Source organism: Homo sapiens, chromosome X (assembly GCF_000001405.40).
Source record: "Homo sapiens chromosome X, GRCh38.p14 Primary Assembly".
In the NCBI taxonomy this organism is placed as follows: Eukaryota; Metazoa; Chordata; class Mammalia; order Primates; family Hominidae; genus Homo; species Homo sapiens.
In genome coordinates, this window is record NC_000023.11 from 92,154,298 (window position 1) to 92,171,182 (window position 16,885).

The 16,885-nt window shown below is 38.3% G+C and overlaps 1 protein-coding gene across 14 annotated transcripts in view, besides 1 other annotated feature; it reads left to right on the forward strand.

Annotated features, from left to right (window-relative positions):
• The window catches only part of PCDH11X (protocadherin 11 X-linked), an 843,856-nt gene that overhangs the window by 374,923 nt on the left and 452,048 nt on the right, over positions 1–16,885 (forward strand). The window lies entirely within an intron of this gene.
• Positions 8,467–9,144: an enhancer, noted in NCBI's record as "H3K27ac hESC enhancer chrX:91417763-91418440 (GRCh37/hg19 assembly coordinates)". NCBI's record gives its function as "activates a minimal SCP1, AML or CMV promoter by ChIP-STARR-seq in primed H9 embryonic stem cells {active_cell/tissue: H9 hESC(primed)}" and the evidence as "EXISTENCE:reporter gene assay evidence [ECO:0000049][PMID:30033119]".

Sequence of the window (16,885 nt, forward strand, 5' to 3'; positions counted from 1 at the left end):
GAATCTCTTCTATGCCATTAAGAAAAAATCACTTTGGTACATGACACATGAGTTAAATTCTCAGTAGTTACTCTTTGTCTTAATCTAATTTTGTCAGTTTTTCTGGGACAATCTGGTTTATGCACATTATTATTGATACGGAAGTGGGGCAGGGAAACTCTGCGTAGAGAAAAGCATGTCCCTGGCTAGGGCTCCACCCCAAAGGACCTAGGTGAGGACAGGCACTCCTGCTTTCCCGCCCAAATGTTGCATTTTCCAAGACCACCCTGGCCCACCATGCCTCCATCCTGGGCCTATAAAAACCCGAGACCCTAGTGGGCAGACACACAAGCGGCTGGACAGCGTGAGGAACACATCGGCGGAAGAAGACACAAGCGGCTGGTCATCCAGGGCAGATGGCAAAATAGCTCGCCCGGCAGGCCATTGACTAGTGGAACAACACAGAGTCTGGCCAGAGCCGTCGGAGAAAAGTCCGGTCACCGAGCGGCCCGATTCCGGGGGAAAACTATCTCCCTTCTGGCTCCCCCATCTGCCCAGACCTACTCCTACTCAATAAAATCTTGCACTCATTCTCCAAGCCCACGTGTGATCCGATTCTTCCCGTACACCAAGGCAGGAAACCCCGGGATACAGAAATCCCTCTGTCCTTATGATAAGGAAGGGGGTCTGCGTTGGTTAACACAAGCCACCTATAGACAGCAAAACAAAGAGCACCCTGTAACACATCCCACCGGGGCTTCAGCTGTAAATATGCACCGCTAAACACTGCCGTGGTGTCAGAGCCCCACAGCCTGCCCGTCTGTATGCTCTCCTTTGAGCATACAGTGGGGCACTGAAGAAGAGAGCCACACCCCCATCGCATGCCCTGCGAGAGGGACAGGGGAACCTTGCCTGTTTAATTATGATATGATATATTAATACTGACATTCACTCTCAAGACCGTACTGGTTGGATTATCAATCCTATAGTCTCTTTATCTATTATTTTCTCATTAAAAAATGCTGCTGGAGATGACCCAAAGATTTACCATGTGGAGAAAGCTTAACTCTAGTTTTAAATTGAGGTTAAATTATTCCATTCCTATTCCAAATTAACATTTTACTATCAAACCTGGTGCTTTAACAGTTTTCTTTATCTCAGGAAATGTTAATACCATCTTTCCACTTCCTCAGGCCAAAAACCTTGGCATTGTCTTTTTTCTTTCACACACTTTGGCTCTTTTTTCAAAATATACCTGGAAACCTCTCGCTCCTTATCACCTCTACCACTACCACTCTGGTCCAAGCCTCCATTGACTGTCACCTCAGTTACTTCAATAGCTTTTTTTTTTTTTTTTTTTTTTTTCCTGAGACAGAGTCTCGCTCTGTCGCCCAGCCTGGAGTGCAGTGGCGCCATCTCGGCTCACTGCAAGCTCCACCTCTCGGGTTCACGCCCTTCTCCTGCCTCAGCCTCCGGAGTAGCTGGGACTACAGGGGCCCGCCACCGCGCCCGGCTAATTTTTTTTGTATTTTTAGTAGAGACGGGGTTTCACCATATTTGCCAGGATGGTCTCGATCTCCTGACCTCGTGATCCGCTTGCCTCGGCTTCCCAAAGCCCTGGGATTACAGGCGTGAGCCACCGAGCCCGGCAGTTACTTCAGTAGCTTCTTAACTGCTCTCTCTGCTTCCTCTCCCGTCCCCTCCATGTCAAGTCTCAACAAAGCAGCCAGAGAGACTCAGATATAACTGAGATCATGCTATTTCTCCGTTCAGAACACACTATGGTTTGTCAATTTACACAGTAAAGAGCAAAGACTTCAAGATCGTTGAGGGCCTCCCCTGTGACATTTTTTATGACAAAATAATAAATAAAGAGACCATAGGATTGATTATCCAACAAGTACACTCTTAAGAGGGCACAACCTGCACCCGCTCCAGTTACCTCTCAGACTTCATCTCCTATCCGCCCCCCCATTCCTTGTTCACATAGTCTCCTTGTTGTCTCTTGAAGCTGCTGGGTGTGCTCTTTCCTTAGGATCTTTGCACTGACTGATTCTATTGCATAAATATCACATGATATTTATACGATGCAAGTTCTTACCCCTTCAAATCTTTGCTTAAATGTCACCTTTTCAGTGAGGTCTTCCCTGACCGTCCTGTTAAAAATTGCAACTATACTCCCACACACATCAAATGCACTCCATATAATCTTTCCCTGATCTTTTTCAGAGCACTAGTACCATCTAACATACCATAGTATTTAATAATTTCTAACGTATGCATTTCATCCTTTCTTCCTAACTAAAATCACTGTGAATGCAGACATTTCTGTATTGCCAGCACCTAGTAGAATGTATGGCCTAGAATAGGCACTCAATAAATGAATGAAGGAATGTAACTTATACCCCGTTCTTACAATTCTAGCATATTAGAGTTGTTAATCCATTCCAGTAGGAATTTCCATTCCTTGCATAGTTTAATTTGATATACTACCATTTATATACTCATTATGTGTTTGTATGTATGTGGAATTGGATGGTTAAAATCACATACAAAGAATCACTTCACACGTGTGAAGTAAACATGCTAACATGCTTTCTGCATAAGAAGTCAAAAGACAGCAGTGGTACTTATATTTAACTTCAGCTTGGATAAGCTTAAAACGACCTTCATAAGAGAGATTTGAATACACTTTAACTAAGGCAGGAGGTTTATGTAGCAAATCCATTACCACTTCCAAAAATCTGTCCCTGGAATACAAAATCCAATGGTTGCGGTCTGTTCTATGCCAAAACATAGGTTTAATTATTCAGAAGACCATTAGAGCACATTTTCTAAACCTAAAATTCGGCAAAGAAATTCTATCTAATGTCCCTTAGCTTTGGGAGCTATACACTAAGGCATCTTCCTGGTGTGCAGGATTGTGGCTTTTATGAACGTCTGAATTAAAACAGTTACCTATTAGAGAGCTAAAGGCCCCTGTTCTGCCTCACCTTAACTTTATCAAATTGTTTATCTTCTACTATTCCTCTGGTGATCATGGTAAATAATGATTTAATTGCACTGTTAACAACTTACAAATAGTGTATAATTTTTTTATTCCTACTGAGTATTAATGTAATTTGCCTTTCATTATTAGGAAAGGGTTAAAGTGAAGGATATAGATCCATTTAATGGCAAAAGGATAGAACGATTAGTCAATAAACCAAATAAAAATGACAGAGTGTAAAAGAAAGTTGTTTCAGTACATGGTGAGTCACTATAAGAAAACGATTTTAAAGCACGTCAGGGAAATATTTAAAATGAGGTGGTTCTGGCAATACGTTAGTTTTTGTTAAAATGACATTTACATTAAAATGAATAAATAATTGTTATAGACTCAAATACACACTTTTCATTTGCTCTCGGTCACATTATCAGTATCCACTTAGAAGCTCAGTTTGAATTTAAACACATTTTATTCTTACAAGGTTTGTGCTTTCATTATCAAGATTTTCTTTTAGAATTTTTTGTGTTAATTTTTATAATATCAATAAACATTTAAATAATATCAATTATAGTATTTAATCATGTTCTTATGACATGGAAAAAATCAATTATATGTTGAAAATCAGTTTATGAAAGTCTTTCTGTTCTGGACTATAAAATATCAAGAAGGCCGGTCGCGGTAGCTCATGCCTGTAATCCCAGCACTTTGGGGGGCTGAGGTGGGTGGATCACCTGAGTTCAGGAGTTCGAGACCAGCCTGACCAACATGGTGAAACCCTGTCTCTACTGAAATTACAAAAAATCACCTGGGCGTGGTGGCAGGCACCTGTAATCCCAGCTACTGGGGAGGCTGAGGCAGGAGAATTGCCTGAACTGGGGAGGCAGAGGTTGCCGTAAGCTGAGATTGTGCCACTGCACTCCAGCCTGGGCAACAAGAGCAAGACTCTTTCTAAAAACAAAACAAAACAAAAATCAAGAATACTTTTAATAGTTAATAATTTTAAAATGCTAAATACTTGCACTTCATAGGAAATGTATTTATTAGATAGAGCCTGGCCAACATGGAGAAACCCCATCTCTACTAAAAATACAAAAATTAGCTGGGTGTGGTGGTGCATGCCTGTAATCACAGCCACTCAGGAGGCTGAGGCACAAGAATTGCTTGAACCTGGGAGGCAGAGGTTACAGTAAGTTTAGATCATGCCACTGCACTCCAGCCTGGGTGACAGAGCAAGAGACTGTCTCAAAAAAAAGAAAAAAAGAAAAGGAAATTTATTTAATAGATAGTTGACTCCTTACTTTATTTGTCTTTGTATTTATTAACTTTGATTTTAAGATTGCCTGAATGGTAATGTTTTCTAGTCTTTTTTCAGAATATATATATATTTTTGAAACAGAGTCTAGCTCTGTCACCAGGCTGGAGTTCAGTGGCGGGATCTCGGCTCACTGAAACCTCCGCCTCCTAGGTTTAAGCGATTCTCCTGCCTCAGCCTCCCGAGTAGCTGAGGTTACAGGCACGCGCTGCCATGCCCAGCTAATTTTTGTATTTTTAGTAGAGACAGGGTTTCACCTTGTTGGCCAGGATGGTCTCGATCTCCTGACCTCGTGATCTGCTCACCTCGGCCTCCCAAAGTGCTGGGATTACAGGCGTGAGCCACTGGGCCCAGCCTAGAATAGATAACTTTTATATTTAGCAAACTACACTTGCTTTATTTGTCTGCATTGTTCTGCACTGACTCTAAGATTTTAAGCACAAAAATAAGTACATATTACAAAAATATCTTAATATCTCATGGATTTTGTAGCTACTATCAAATTGGCATGCTAATAATTAAATTCTTGCTCTTCTAATATAAATATTAAAAAGTAAAGAAACTTTAGCAGGAATATAAGCTAAATATTATAGAAGAACATATGAAATAATAATGAGAAATAAAGTTTGGAAGTCCTAGTTAATGGAATCATATGTAGGTAGAATCTCTCGGTCTGCTGTATTTTCAGATGTGGATGTAGGAGGTTTGCTGTGTTCTCTCTCATGTGACCCACTGCAAAAATTCAACATGTATTGAATATAAAAAAATATTCTACATAGTGGAGAAGAATTCACATCTATGAATTCTTTGTATAGTGTAAACTCATTATATTATCATTTTAAAAATATATTATCATTTTTTAAAGATTCCATAGTCTGAGTAACGGCCAGTATAGTTTAGTATTACAAAACTCCTGAGAAAGGGTTATGATACTCAGGAGAATAAAAAACACAAGTGTGTGTATGTTTTAGAGTATAAAGGGAAATTTTCTAGAACAAATGAAAAGGTAATTGGTGGTAAACTTAACCTCATTGGGATTAAAAAAAAAAAGGCAATTTAAGAGTGTCAAAAACCAAATTACAATGAATTTAGTTTAAAGACATAATTGACTTTTATTAGTGATTCTAGAATCAGGCAACATCTCATTCTATAAAACAGAATGAGTGCTGAACAGTTGTTTTTTTAAAGTGCAAACAAGGAAACAGATTAAAATGTGGAGTGACATCAGGTTACCTCATTTTTTTTTTTTTTTTTGTAAGGGTTAAAGCTGAGAGGACTTCCTTGTTTTGCTGGCTCAGGTTTACTGGGCCCTCTTCAATTGTTTGTTATGAATCTCCTGTTTTCAAAAAAAAAAGATTTGGGGATTTACCTGCTTCCTTAATGTTTCAGTTTGATTATAAGGCACTTATCATGAGACTCCATTTTGGTTTGCTCTACTGGGGCCTAGTGCAGGAGCTCAGCCCAAAACAATGGCCGTTCATACATTTTATTTAACAGGGAATGGTTTTGTTTATTTTTTTGTTTGTTTATTTATTTTGGTCTGTAGCTGGCTGTCTCTACTGGCCAGCTGTTTTTTTTCTTTTTTTTTTAATTTCCATAGGTTATTAGAAATAACCAGGTGGTATTTAGTTACATGAGTAAGTTCTTTTGTGGGGATTTGTTAGATTTTTGTGCACGAATCTCCCAAGCAGCATACATTGAACCCAATTTGTAGCCTTTTATTTCTCACTCCCTTCCCACCCTTTCCCCCTGAGTCCCAAAGTCTGCTGCATTATTCTTATGCCTCTGCATTCTCACAGCTTAGCTCCCGCTTATGAGTGAGAACATAGGATATTTGATTTTCCATTCCTGAGTTACTTCACTTAGAATCATAGTCTCCGATCCTATCCAGGTTGCTGCAAATGCCATTAATTCATTCCTTTTTATGGCTGAGTAGTATCCCATCAAATATATACCACAGATTCTTTATCCACTCGTTGAGTGATGGGCATTTGGGCTGGTTCCATATTTTTGCAATTGTAAATTTTGCTGCTATAAACATGCATGTGCAGGTATTTTTTTTTCTTTTTTTTTTTTTTTTATAATGACTTCTTTTCTTCTGGGTAGATACCCAGTAGTGGGAGTACTGGATCAAATGGTAGTTCTACTTTTAGTTCTTTAAGGAATCTCCACACTGTTTTTCATAATAGTTGTACTAGTTTACATTTCCACCAGCAGTATAGAAGTGTTCCCTTTTCACTGCATCCATGACAACATGTATTATTTTTTGATTTTTTAATTATGGCCATTCTTGCGGGAGTAAGGTCGTATCACATTGTGGTTTTTATTTGGAATCCCTGATCATTAGTGCTGTTGATCAGTTTCTTATATGTTTGTTGGCCACTTGTATATCTTCTGTTGAGACATGTCTATTCGTGTCCTTAGCCCACTTTTTGCTGGGATTTTTTTTTATTTCTTGTTAATTTGAGTTCCTTGTAGATTCTGGATATTAGTCCTTTGTTGTATGTATAGATTGTGAAGATTTTCTCCCACTCTGTGAGATTTGTTCTTTAAAGAGGTTATGTTTTAATGTGTTTCCAGGATGTGTTTCAAAATTGATAGCTCCTTTTAGCAGTTCTTGTAGTGCTGGCTTGGTAGTGGCAAATTCTCTCAGCATTTGTTTGTCTGAAAAAGACTGTATCTTTTCTTCATTTATAAAGCTTAGTTTTGCTGGATACAAAACTTTTGGCTGATAATTATTTTGTTTAAGGAAGTTAAAGATAGGGCCCCAATCCCTTCTAGCTTGGAGGGTTTCTGCTGACAAATCGGCTGTTAATCTGATACGTTTTCTTTTTTAGGTTACCTGGTGTTTTTTCCTCACAGCTCTTAAGATTCTTTCCTTCACCTTGACTTTTGATAACATGATGACAATGTGCCTAGACATGATCTTTTTGCGATGAATTTCCCAGGTGTTCTTTGAGCTTTTTGTATTTGAATGTCTAGGTCTCTAGCAAGGCCGGGGAAGTTTTCCTCAATTAGTCCCCCAAATATGTTTTCCAGACTTTTAGATTTCTCTTCTTCCTCAGGAATGCCAATTATTCTTAGGTTTGGTCATTTATCATAATCCTAAACTTCTTGGAGGCTTTGTTCGTTTTTTAAAATTCTTTTCTCTTTGTCTTTGTTGGATTGAGTTAATTAGAAAACCTTGTCTTTGAGCTCTGAAGTTCTTTCTTCTGCTTGTCTGATTCTATTGCTGAGACTTTCCAGTACATTTTGCATTTCTCTGAATGTGCCCTTTATTTCCTAAAGTTGTCATTGTTTTTTATTTATGCTATCTATTTCACTGAAGGTTTGTCCCCTGATATCTTGTATCATTTATTTGACTTCATTAAGTTGGACTTCACCTTTCTCTGGTGCCTCCTTGATTAGCTTAGTAATCAACTTTCTGAATTCTTTTTCAGGTATATCAGAGATTTATTCTTGGTTTGTATTTATTGCTGGTGAGCAAGTGTGATTTTTGGGGGAGTGTTAAAAAACCTTGTTTTGTCATATTATGAGAATTATTTTTCTGGTTCCTTCTCATTTGGGTGGGTTATATCGGAGGGAAGATCTGGGGCTCAAGGTTGCTGTTTAGATTTTTTTTTTTTTTTTTTGAAATGGAGTCCTACTTTGTCACCCATGCTGGAGTGCAGTGGTGCGATCTCGGCTTACTGCAACCTCTGCCTCCTGGGTTCAAGCGATTCTCCTGTCTCAGCTTCCTGAGTAGCTGGGATTACAGGTGTGCACCACCATGTCTGGCTAATTTTTGTATTTTTAGTAGAGATGAGGTTTCACCATATTGGCTAGGCTGGTCTTGAACTCCTGACCTCAGATGATCTGCCTCCCTCGGCCTCTCAAACTGCTGGGATTACAGGTGTGAGCCACCGCTCCTGGACATTGCTGTTTAGATTCTTTTGTCCCATGGGGTGTTCCCTTGATGTAGTACTCTTCCCCTTTTCCTAAGGATGTGGCTTCCTGAGAGCGGAACTCTAATAATTGTTACTTATCTTCTGGATCTAGCCATGCAGAAGGGCTAACAGGCTTTGGGTTGGTACTGGGGATTGTCTGCACAAAGTCCTGTGATGTGAAGTGTCTTCGGTATCCTCAGCTGTGGATACCATCACCTGCTCTGGTGGAGGTGGCAGGGGAATGAAATGGACTCTGTGAGGGTCCTTAGTTTTGATTGTTTAATGCACTATTTTTGTGCTGGTTGGCCACCTGCCAGGAGGTGGTGCTTTCAAGAGAGCATCAGCTGTGGTAGTATAGGGAGGAACAGGTGGTGCACAGGGCCCTAGAACTCCCAAGAGGATATCCCCTTTGTCTTCAGCTACCAAGGTGGGTAGGGAAGGACCATCAGGTGGGGGCAGGGTTAGGTGTGTCTGAGCTCAGATTCTCTTTGGGCAGGGCATGCTGTGGCTGCTGTGGTGGATGGGGGTGTGGTTTCCAGGTCAATGGAGTTATGTTCCCAGGAGGATTATGGCAGTCTCTGCTGTGTCATGCAGTTTGTCAGGGAAGTAGGGGAAAGCCGGCAGTTACAGACCTCACCTAGCTCTCATGCAACCCAAAAGGCCTGTCTCACTCCCACCGTGCCCCCCGCCAAAACAGTGCTGAGTTTGTTTCCAGGCAGTGGGGACGCAGGGCTGAGAGCTTGCCCCAGGCTACCAGCCTCCCCACAGAGAAAGCAAGCATGGCTTTTGCGCCTCCCCACCTGTCGATTCTGCATACCAGATTCACGCCCTACCCTGAGTTCTGGCCAGGAGACTTCGCATTTGGTTGGAATTGTTACAAAGTTCAGCTGGAGGTTTCCTTCTCCCTGTGGTCTTTTCCCAGTTCCTCTGGCAGCCCTCCCCAAGGACCCCTGTGAGACAAGTCAGAAATAGCTACCCTGGGGACCCAGAGAGCCCACAGGGCTTTTTCCACTGCTTCCTCTACCCCTGTATTTCACTTGGCTATCTAAATTGACTCAGCTCTAGATGAGGTCAAATGCCTCTCCCGTGATTTAGACCCTCAGGTTCCCCAGTGAGGGCGTGTGTTTGGGGGCAGACAGTCCCCCTTTCCCACTGTCACAGCTTGGGTACTCTCAGTATTTGGGCTGTCTCCCGGCTCCTGCAGGAGCAATCCACTTCCTTCAGAGGGTCTGTGGATTCTCTTGGCTTTCTTGGTATATTTCTGTAGGAGTTCCGGAGCAAAGGTTCACGATGCAGGTCTCCACACACTGCTCTGTCTGTCTGAGCTGGAACTGCAAGCTAGTCCTGCCTCCTATCCACCATCTTCTCTCTCTGCACCAGGGACTAGTTTTCATATTTTACAACTTCAAAATAACGCAAAGTTTTAGTCATTTTACAGTTAAAAAAATGAAATAATCTAAAGAGACTGTACTTTGCAAACATAAATGACTCATCTTGATGCATAGATTAAATTTTAATTACTGTATTATGTTGCCATCAAGAATTATTGTTTTTCAAATTTAACTGACATTTATAGAGAAAATACTTTTTAATTAGAATTATCATCTGGTTTCCAAGTAAGCTGCAATGATATCTCCATCTTGCTCAAAGTTGGAAGTAACATTTATGACACGGGCTTCTTCTTACTGAAATATACCAATAATGAGCTGATTCTCTTTTGTTATTTTTTGTTGCTATTTATTTTGTTTTACTAAACAGGATGACTTTATTGTTGAGTCAGATGTTGGACAAGTACAGGTTTGCTGATATAAAGAGGGTGAAGTAGAAAACCGTTAAGGAGGAATATGCCACCATCTAAAAAACAATCAATGTTGTGAAAGCCCTAAGATAAGTATTTCTTCTTGGATTGTCTTCTAATGAGAAGTAATTCTATTTTGTTGTATATTGTTTCACTAGAAATGATCTGAGGTATGGCAGGAATAACATGTATTCATGAATGTTCTTGAAGGCAAGGTTTGAAGTAAAGTGTGCACATACATAGACAAGCAGTGAAAACGTGAATAAAATTAAAAACAAAGGCTATTGCTTAAAATAAATACTAACACATGTAACTGCAAAGAATCCTGGAGTTAAAGAGTGTCATTTTTTAAATGTCATTTTTTTTTTGTAATTCTGATGCAAGAATTCTATATATATTATCATGATATGGTTTGGCTGTGTCCATACCCAAATCTCATCTTGAATTGTAAGTCTTAGAATTCCCACATGTCATGGGAGGAACACGGTGGGAGGTGATTGACTTATGGGGGCAGGTCTTTCCTGCACTGTTCTTGTGATAGTGAATGAGTCTCAAGAGACCTGATGGTTTTAAAATGGGAGTTTCCCTGCACAAGCTCTGTTTTTGCCTGCCGCCATCCATGTAAGATATGACTTGCTCCTCCTTACTTTTTACCTTCTGCCATGATTATGAGGCCTCCCCAGCCATGTGGAACTGTAAGTGCAGTACACCTCTTTCTTTTGTAAATTGCCCAGTCTCAGCTATGTCTTTATCAGCAGTGTGAAAACAGACTAATACATACAGTATGCTGCTTGACAAATTATTTTCATGATGGTATTATAGGATTAAGAGTAATTGACTCATTGATTGGATACAAATAAATCAATAATTTTAAGGTATCATAAATAGAGTTTAAAAAGATCATTCTTGGCATATATTGAACACCAAGAGAGTCTTATTGCAGCCTCAATGCTAAAGCTTTATAATTTAAAGATGCTCTGATAATCAGCAGTCTCCTTGTATATTTTGAAAAGTGAAAGTTGAGATCACAATCCAGTTTTCCATTTTATTGACAAAGAACATGGACTCACTCAAAGCAGTCTCTGCAAAACTCTTAATGTATTACCAAAGCCATCTTGCCTATGGGATTTTATTGTCTGTACAGGGTATTTGTAATCACAAAACCTATCTTTTTTTCTTTGCTCTATTACATACATAAGTCCCCATTTAAACAGAATTAGGCAGTGCAAGTGAAAAAGATTCAATTCCAGAGGTCGTTGGCTTTGTTGTAAAATCCCATGACTGTAACCATAATTATATACAACCCTACATTACTTCTGATGTTTGATAATTATGACCAGTGATATATGTTATTGATTTTAAAGCAATTTAAAACTGGTCCATGTTCAGATTTCAGTAGCTATGTGCACTGTAATTGCTTTCATAATGTGTCTGTATTATATTTAAATGCTTAAGGATGACTCTCCAGCTAATGAAAAATCATTGTTTGCACTTTTGCATTTCTAGTACTTCCTGTGATAAATGAATCTGCCATAGGAGGGGATAGATTTCATGAAATTCCTGAAAGCATTATGGGACTATTACTAGATACACAGGATTTGCAAAGGGAATTTGGCTAAAAAAGTGAAACTGACAAGGATATCATTTGCATTACATAAAGTTTCCACAGGTTAACTCTAGCCGAAGGGTATTTTTAGTGAGCATATTGATAGGGATTGTGAATGACATTACTTCTATTGTGTAAACTTAGGAAAAATCAGTCTTCAATAGTATACATATAGTGAAATATAGTGTACAGTAATATTAATATTTAAATATAGCTGACCACTGTTTTTTATTTTTTCACACAATAATGAAATATATTTTCAATACATTAAAAGAGAAAAATATTTCTCATTAGTATCTATTCATATGATATTAAGTGTTCAGAAAATATACTCTTTACATCTGTTTGTTGATATAATTTTTTATCAATCTACTATAATCTTATTTTTATAAAATAGTATTCTACTTACAGTTTATTTCTGATGTGTAATATTTTTGAGTAAATATAGTAATAACTATGACTTTGGATGTCAGAAAATAGTTCCTAATATTATTCACGCTTTATTTAAAATGTTAGTTTTCCAGAGACTTCACAATCCTATACTTTCTGTCATATTTCACATGGAGTGCTTGCTAATAATTGCCATTTATATCATCTAAGCAATATCCATATATCAAGACAGATTATGTAAGCAGAAGTTTTAAAATATAACATATTTTAGCAAACACAGAATTTCCTGTAACATGTCTGTTATAAGGAATTCATCTGGGCCAGATGTGATGGCTCACACCTGTCATCTCAAAAGTTTAGGAGGCCAAGGCAGGAGAATCGCTTGAGCCCAGTAGTTGGAGACCAGCCCAGTCAACCGAGGAAGACATTGTTTCTACAAAAATTTTAAAAATTAGCTGGGCATAGTGGCATGTGCTTGTAGACCTGGCTACCCAGGAGGCTGAGGCAGGAGAATCATTTGAGCCCAATATTTTGAGGCTGCAGTGAGCTATCACAATGCCACTCCACTCCAGCCTGGTGGACAGAGTCCCCATCACTTAAAAAAGAAAAATAAATTCATCTAGGCAAAAAGGCAATTAGTTGGCTGAATGACAATAGGAAATGTCACCAATAGCTGTAAACTGATGATTCCATCCTTTATCACGTTGGCAACTCTCCTTATTATGAACATTAAAATTAATACTTTCCTGTAATTTAAACCTGCACCTGCATTTCTTTTTGCTAAAATGTACTATCCTCAATTATATTCTATAATTTTACTTGCTAATTTTTGCTTCCTTTTCCTCACTGAATATGAAGTACTATATTAATCTTTAAAGTATATTTTTAAAAGATTATCTAAAAGCTATAAAACTGGAAGTTATATTGCTGACAGGGAATCTTCTCTTAAGAACTTTAAAAATAGACATTGAAAGACACTGCAGATGAACAGTTTGAGTCTAGTGCAAAAAAAATAGGCAAACTAGGGGCTATCAAACCATAGAATTATTAGCAAAAATATTTACTCTTGTTTCAATTGAAAATGCCACATAATAAGATTTATTTTAGTAATTTTTTGTGTGTCTCTTCTATAGGCAAGTATCTTAATGATATTTAATTTCAGGGAATTGTGTGGCTCTTGAAAGAGTCAAAATCAAAATTTATGTGCCAGATTTTGCCTCTTATCTATGTTATTTGTCTCTCTAACTAGTAATTTTCCGTGTTGTTTTAGAGTGAGTACAGAACAAAGTTATAGAATATAGTTAGTGATATTTCTTTACTTTTCAATGGTAGATTACTTTGGCCATCTAGTTAAACTACTGGAAAGATCTTGCTGTCTATTTTGTTATTTTGTAGCTTTTTACCACAATTGCTGGCCATGAATTTTCTTCTTTTTCTAAAACTGAGGGAATCGGCAAAATTTGGAAAATATGATGTCACTATGATTGATCAACATTATAAATGTATTTTTAGAGGAAATTATTCATTGTATAATAGAAAATGTGTAAGTACACATCCTATGAGTCCTGATTGGGATGATTGTTATTAAGAAAGAAAACAAGATAGCCTTGCTGATATGAGAAGTAGTTCAGCCTGTGGTATAAAGGTTAACTGTTTTACTTTGCCAACAAATTTAGAGTGCACAAGAATCCTTTTTCTGGAGTGCGGTGGCGTAGTGTCGGCTTACTGTAACCTCCGCCTACTAGGCTCAAGTGATCCTCTGACTTCAGCCTCCCAAGTAGCTGAGACTACAGGCATGTGCCACCACATCTGGCTAGTTTTTGTATTTTTCGTAGAGACAGGGTTTCTCCATATTGCCCAAGCTAGTCTTGAACTCCTGAGCTCAAGCAATCCACCCACGTCAGCCTCCCAAAGTGGTGGGATTACAAACATGAGCCACCACACCCAGCTGACAATAGTCCTTTAAACTATATAAATACTGGTGGGGGTGATGGCTCACACCTGTAAACCCACCACTTTGGAAGGCCAAAGAGGGAAGATTACTTGAGCCCAGGAATTCGAGACCAGCTTGGGCAACATAGTGAGACCTCAGCTCTACAAAAAATAAAAAATTAGCAAGGTGTGGTGGTGCTTGCCAGTAGTCTCAGCTACTCAGGAGGCTGAGGTGGAAGAATTAATGAAGCCCGGGAAGTCAAGGCTACACTCTAACCTGAGTGACAGAGTGAAACTCTGCCTCAAAAAAAAAAACCCAAAACAAACAAACAAAACACGAAAAACCCCCAACTATATAAATGCCAAAATCTTGGCAGAAAATTAATAAATAAACATGTGTGTCTTTTCTTTGTGATTAAAAGGATGAAGAATCAGTTTTCCATTGTTTACTATAGAATCATTGAGTTGTACCATTGAAAGTTATTTTAGATATCATCTATCCCAAAATCTCATTTTAAAATTGAGAAAAACTAGGCTCAAAGAGATGAAGTGACTTCCTAAGTTCACACACTTGGGCATAGCTGAACTAGAAGCAAAATCCCAGTTTCATCAAGTTAGTATACTTTCTGGCCATTATAAGGTCTGCTTTGGAGCTAGCTTCATTGGTATGACAATTTTCCCTCAAATATTCAATGTTTGTTAATAGCACCTTCCCTGAATTATGTATATGTGTGTTTTCTAAAACAACTATTTAAATCACATGGCATACCAGTTTTACTAATGAAAATCCAGAAAATCATGTCCTTAATTCTTTTCTTTGGATTGAAGAGATTATATATACAAATACTTTCTCAAGATGAATGAGTGGGGAAGACTTCCTAAATGCCACCATTTTGTGGAAAGAAAGTGTTTATAGGGACAAAACCCGAGGTTTTTAAAATTCATTTTCAATGTAGACCTAAATTTTGTTCAGTGACTTGGAGCATTGTGAGAAGTATAGACCTCAACTGAGCTTTATCAGTCTCCAGTGAGTAAAATAATATAGTCCCCATTTTTTTTCAGAGCTTACAAAAAAATGCTTTATCTCCAAATTTATACAACAAAATCATATTTGAGCTAAGACTGAATTTTAGGGGCATTCTTACTCTTCTGAATGTTTTCATCCACAATCCTGCTCCCAACAGATGGAGACTGAAACACAGGAGAGTTTCAGTTTTATAGGAAAAGAGCTAGTGCTCCTCTTGGATTTAAGTTTTAATTCAAATGATAACCATTATTACATGGGTCCTCACCCCTCCTATATAATTCCAGTACCAATAACTCTAGAAAGAGACTCTATTATTTATTCTCTGGAATTAGCCTAGCCAATTTGATGAATAAATGACTGAATGGTTTCTTAGTCTAACCACTTTCCTCTATTTTGTCTTATTGAGGCAGTAGAATATATTATATTCTGTTTAAGTTCCAGAAACATTTATTGGGTGCTTATTATAAGCCAGGAACTGTGCTAAACAGTAATGACATCAAATTACTACCACTTAGGACTATATTTGTGCATAACAAATACTCAGAAAAAATGTATGTACTGATGATACAATGACTAATAAGACACAGTTCCTACCTCCAAGGACCTCACAGTCTTGTGCGGTGTACAAACTTACCTACATATAGGTTAATATTAACTGTAATAGCCACTTTTTATAGCATCAGGGTATGAACAGAGGGCCATGGAAATCCAGAGGCAGTAGCAATTAACTTAGTCTGGAAAAATGCATACAAAGTAGCTTTCAGTCTAGTTATTCTGCTACTAATATCACATTATTTAGGATAAGATATATTTTGTATAAAAATATGGAGATAGAAATAAAATAAAAATACTTCTCTCTATTTTTCATTACCATAAGCCTACAAACCCCCTCAAATTTGAACTGAAAGTTGTATTTTTAATCTGAGAATCCCAAGGAACTCAGGACAAGGATGAATAAACTATTTCACTATCTTCTCTCACTTAATAGTACTAAAGATAAATTTAAGGGAAAATATTAATTTTATGAATGTTTTAGGATTCATCTATGCTTGTCTGGCCAAACAGTATTATATATTTCAAATATATGTATATGAATTATGCATCTACAGAAGTTTAGCTCTGTTGTTGAAGAACAGAAAGCTTAAGATTACTGAAAGAGAGCTCAAAAAAAAATTGGAAAAGAATGAGAAAATATAGTAGTAGTTCCTGGGGTAGAATCAGTTCACAAACCTTGTTCCAGGTATGGAGAAAAGAAAATTTTCAAACATACAGGAAAGATGAAGAATTTTACCATGGACACCATATACCAAGATCACTCAAAAACTTAATTTCTATTTTTTTAAAATCTTTTTAATTTTAGAGACAGCATCTTGCTCTGTCATCCAGGTTGGAGTGCAGTGGTGCAATCACAGCTAACTGCAACCTTAAACTCCTGGGCTGGAACAATCCTCCTGCTTCAGCCTTCTGAGCAGCTAGGACTACAAGTGTGTGCCAACGAGCCTAGCTAATTTGCTTTTCTTGTTTTGTTTTTTTGTTTTTTGTTTTTTTTTTTGAGATGAAGTCTCACTCTTGTCCCCCAGGCTGGAGTGCAATGGTGCAATCTCGGCTCATTGCAACCTCTCCCTCCCGAGTTCAAGCAATTTTCCTGCCTCAGCCTCCCGAGTAGCTGGGATTACAGGCGTGATCCACTGCGCCCGGCCAAGCCTAGCTAATTTTTAAGTTTTACTTCTTTTGTAGAGACAGAAGTCTCACTATGTTGCCCAGGCTGCTCTCAAAACTTTTGGCCTCGAGCAATCCTCCTGCCTCCCAAAGCAGTGAGATTATCAGTGCAAGCCGCTGTGTCGGCCTAAAAACTTGATTTTTAGGGGTTATTCTTTGTGTTCTAGAAGCCCTTTCTTATACAGATACTCATTTATAGCACTGAGG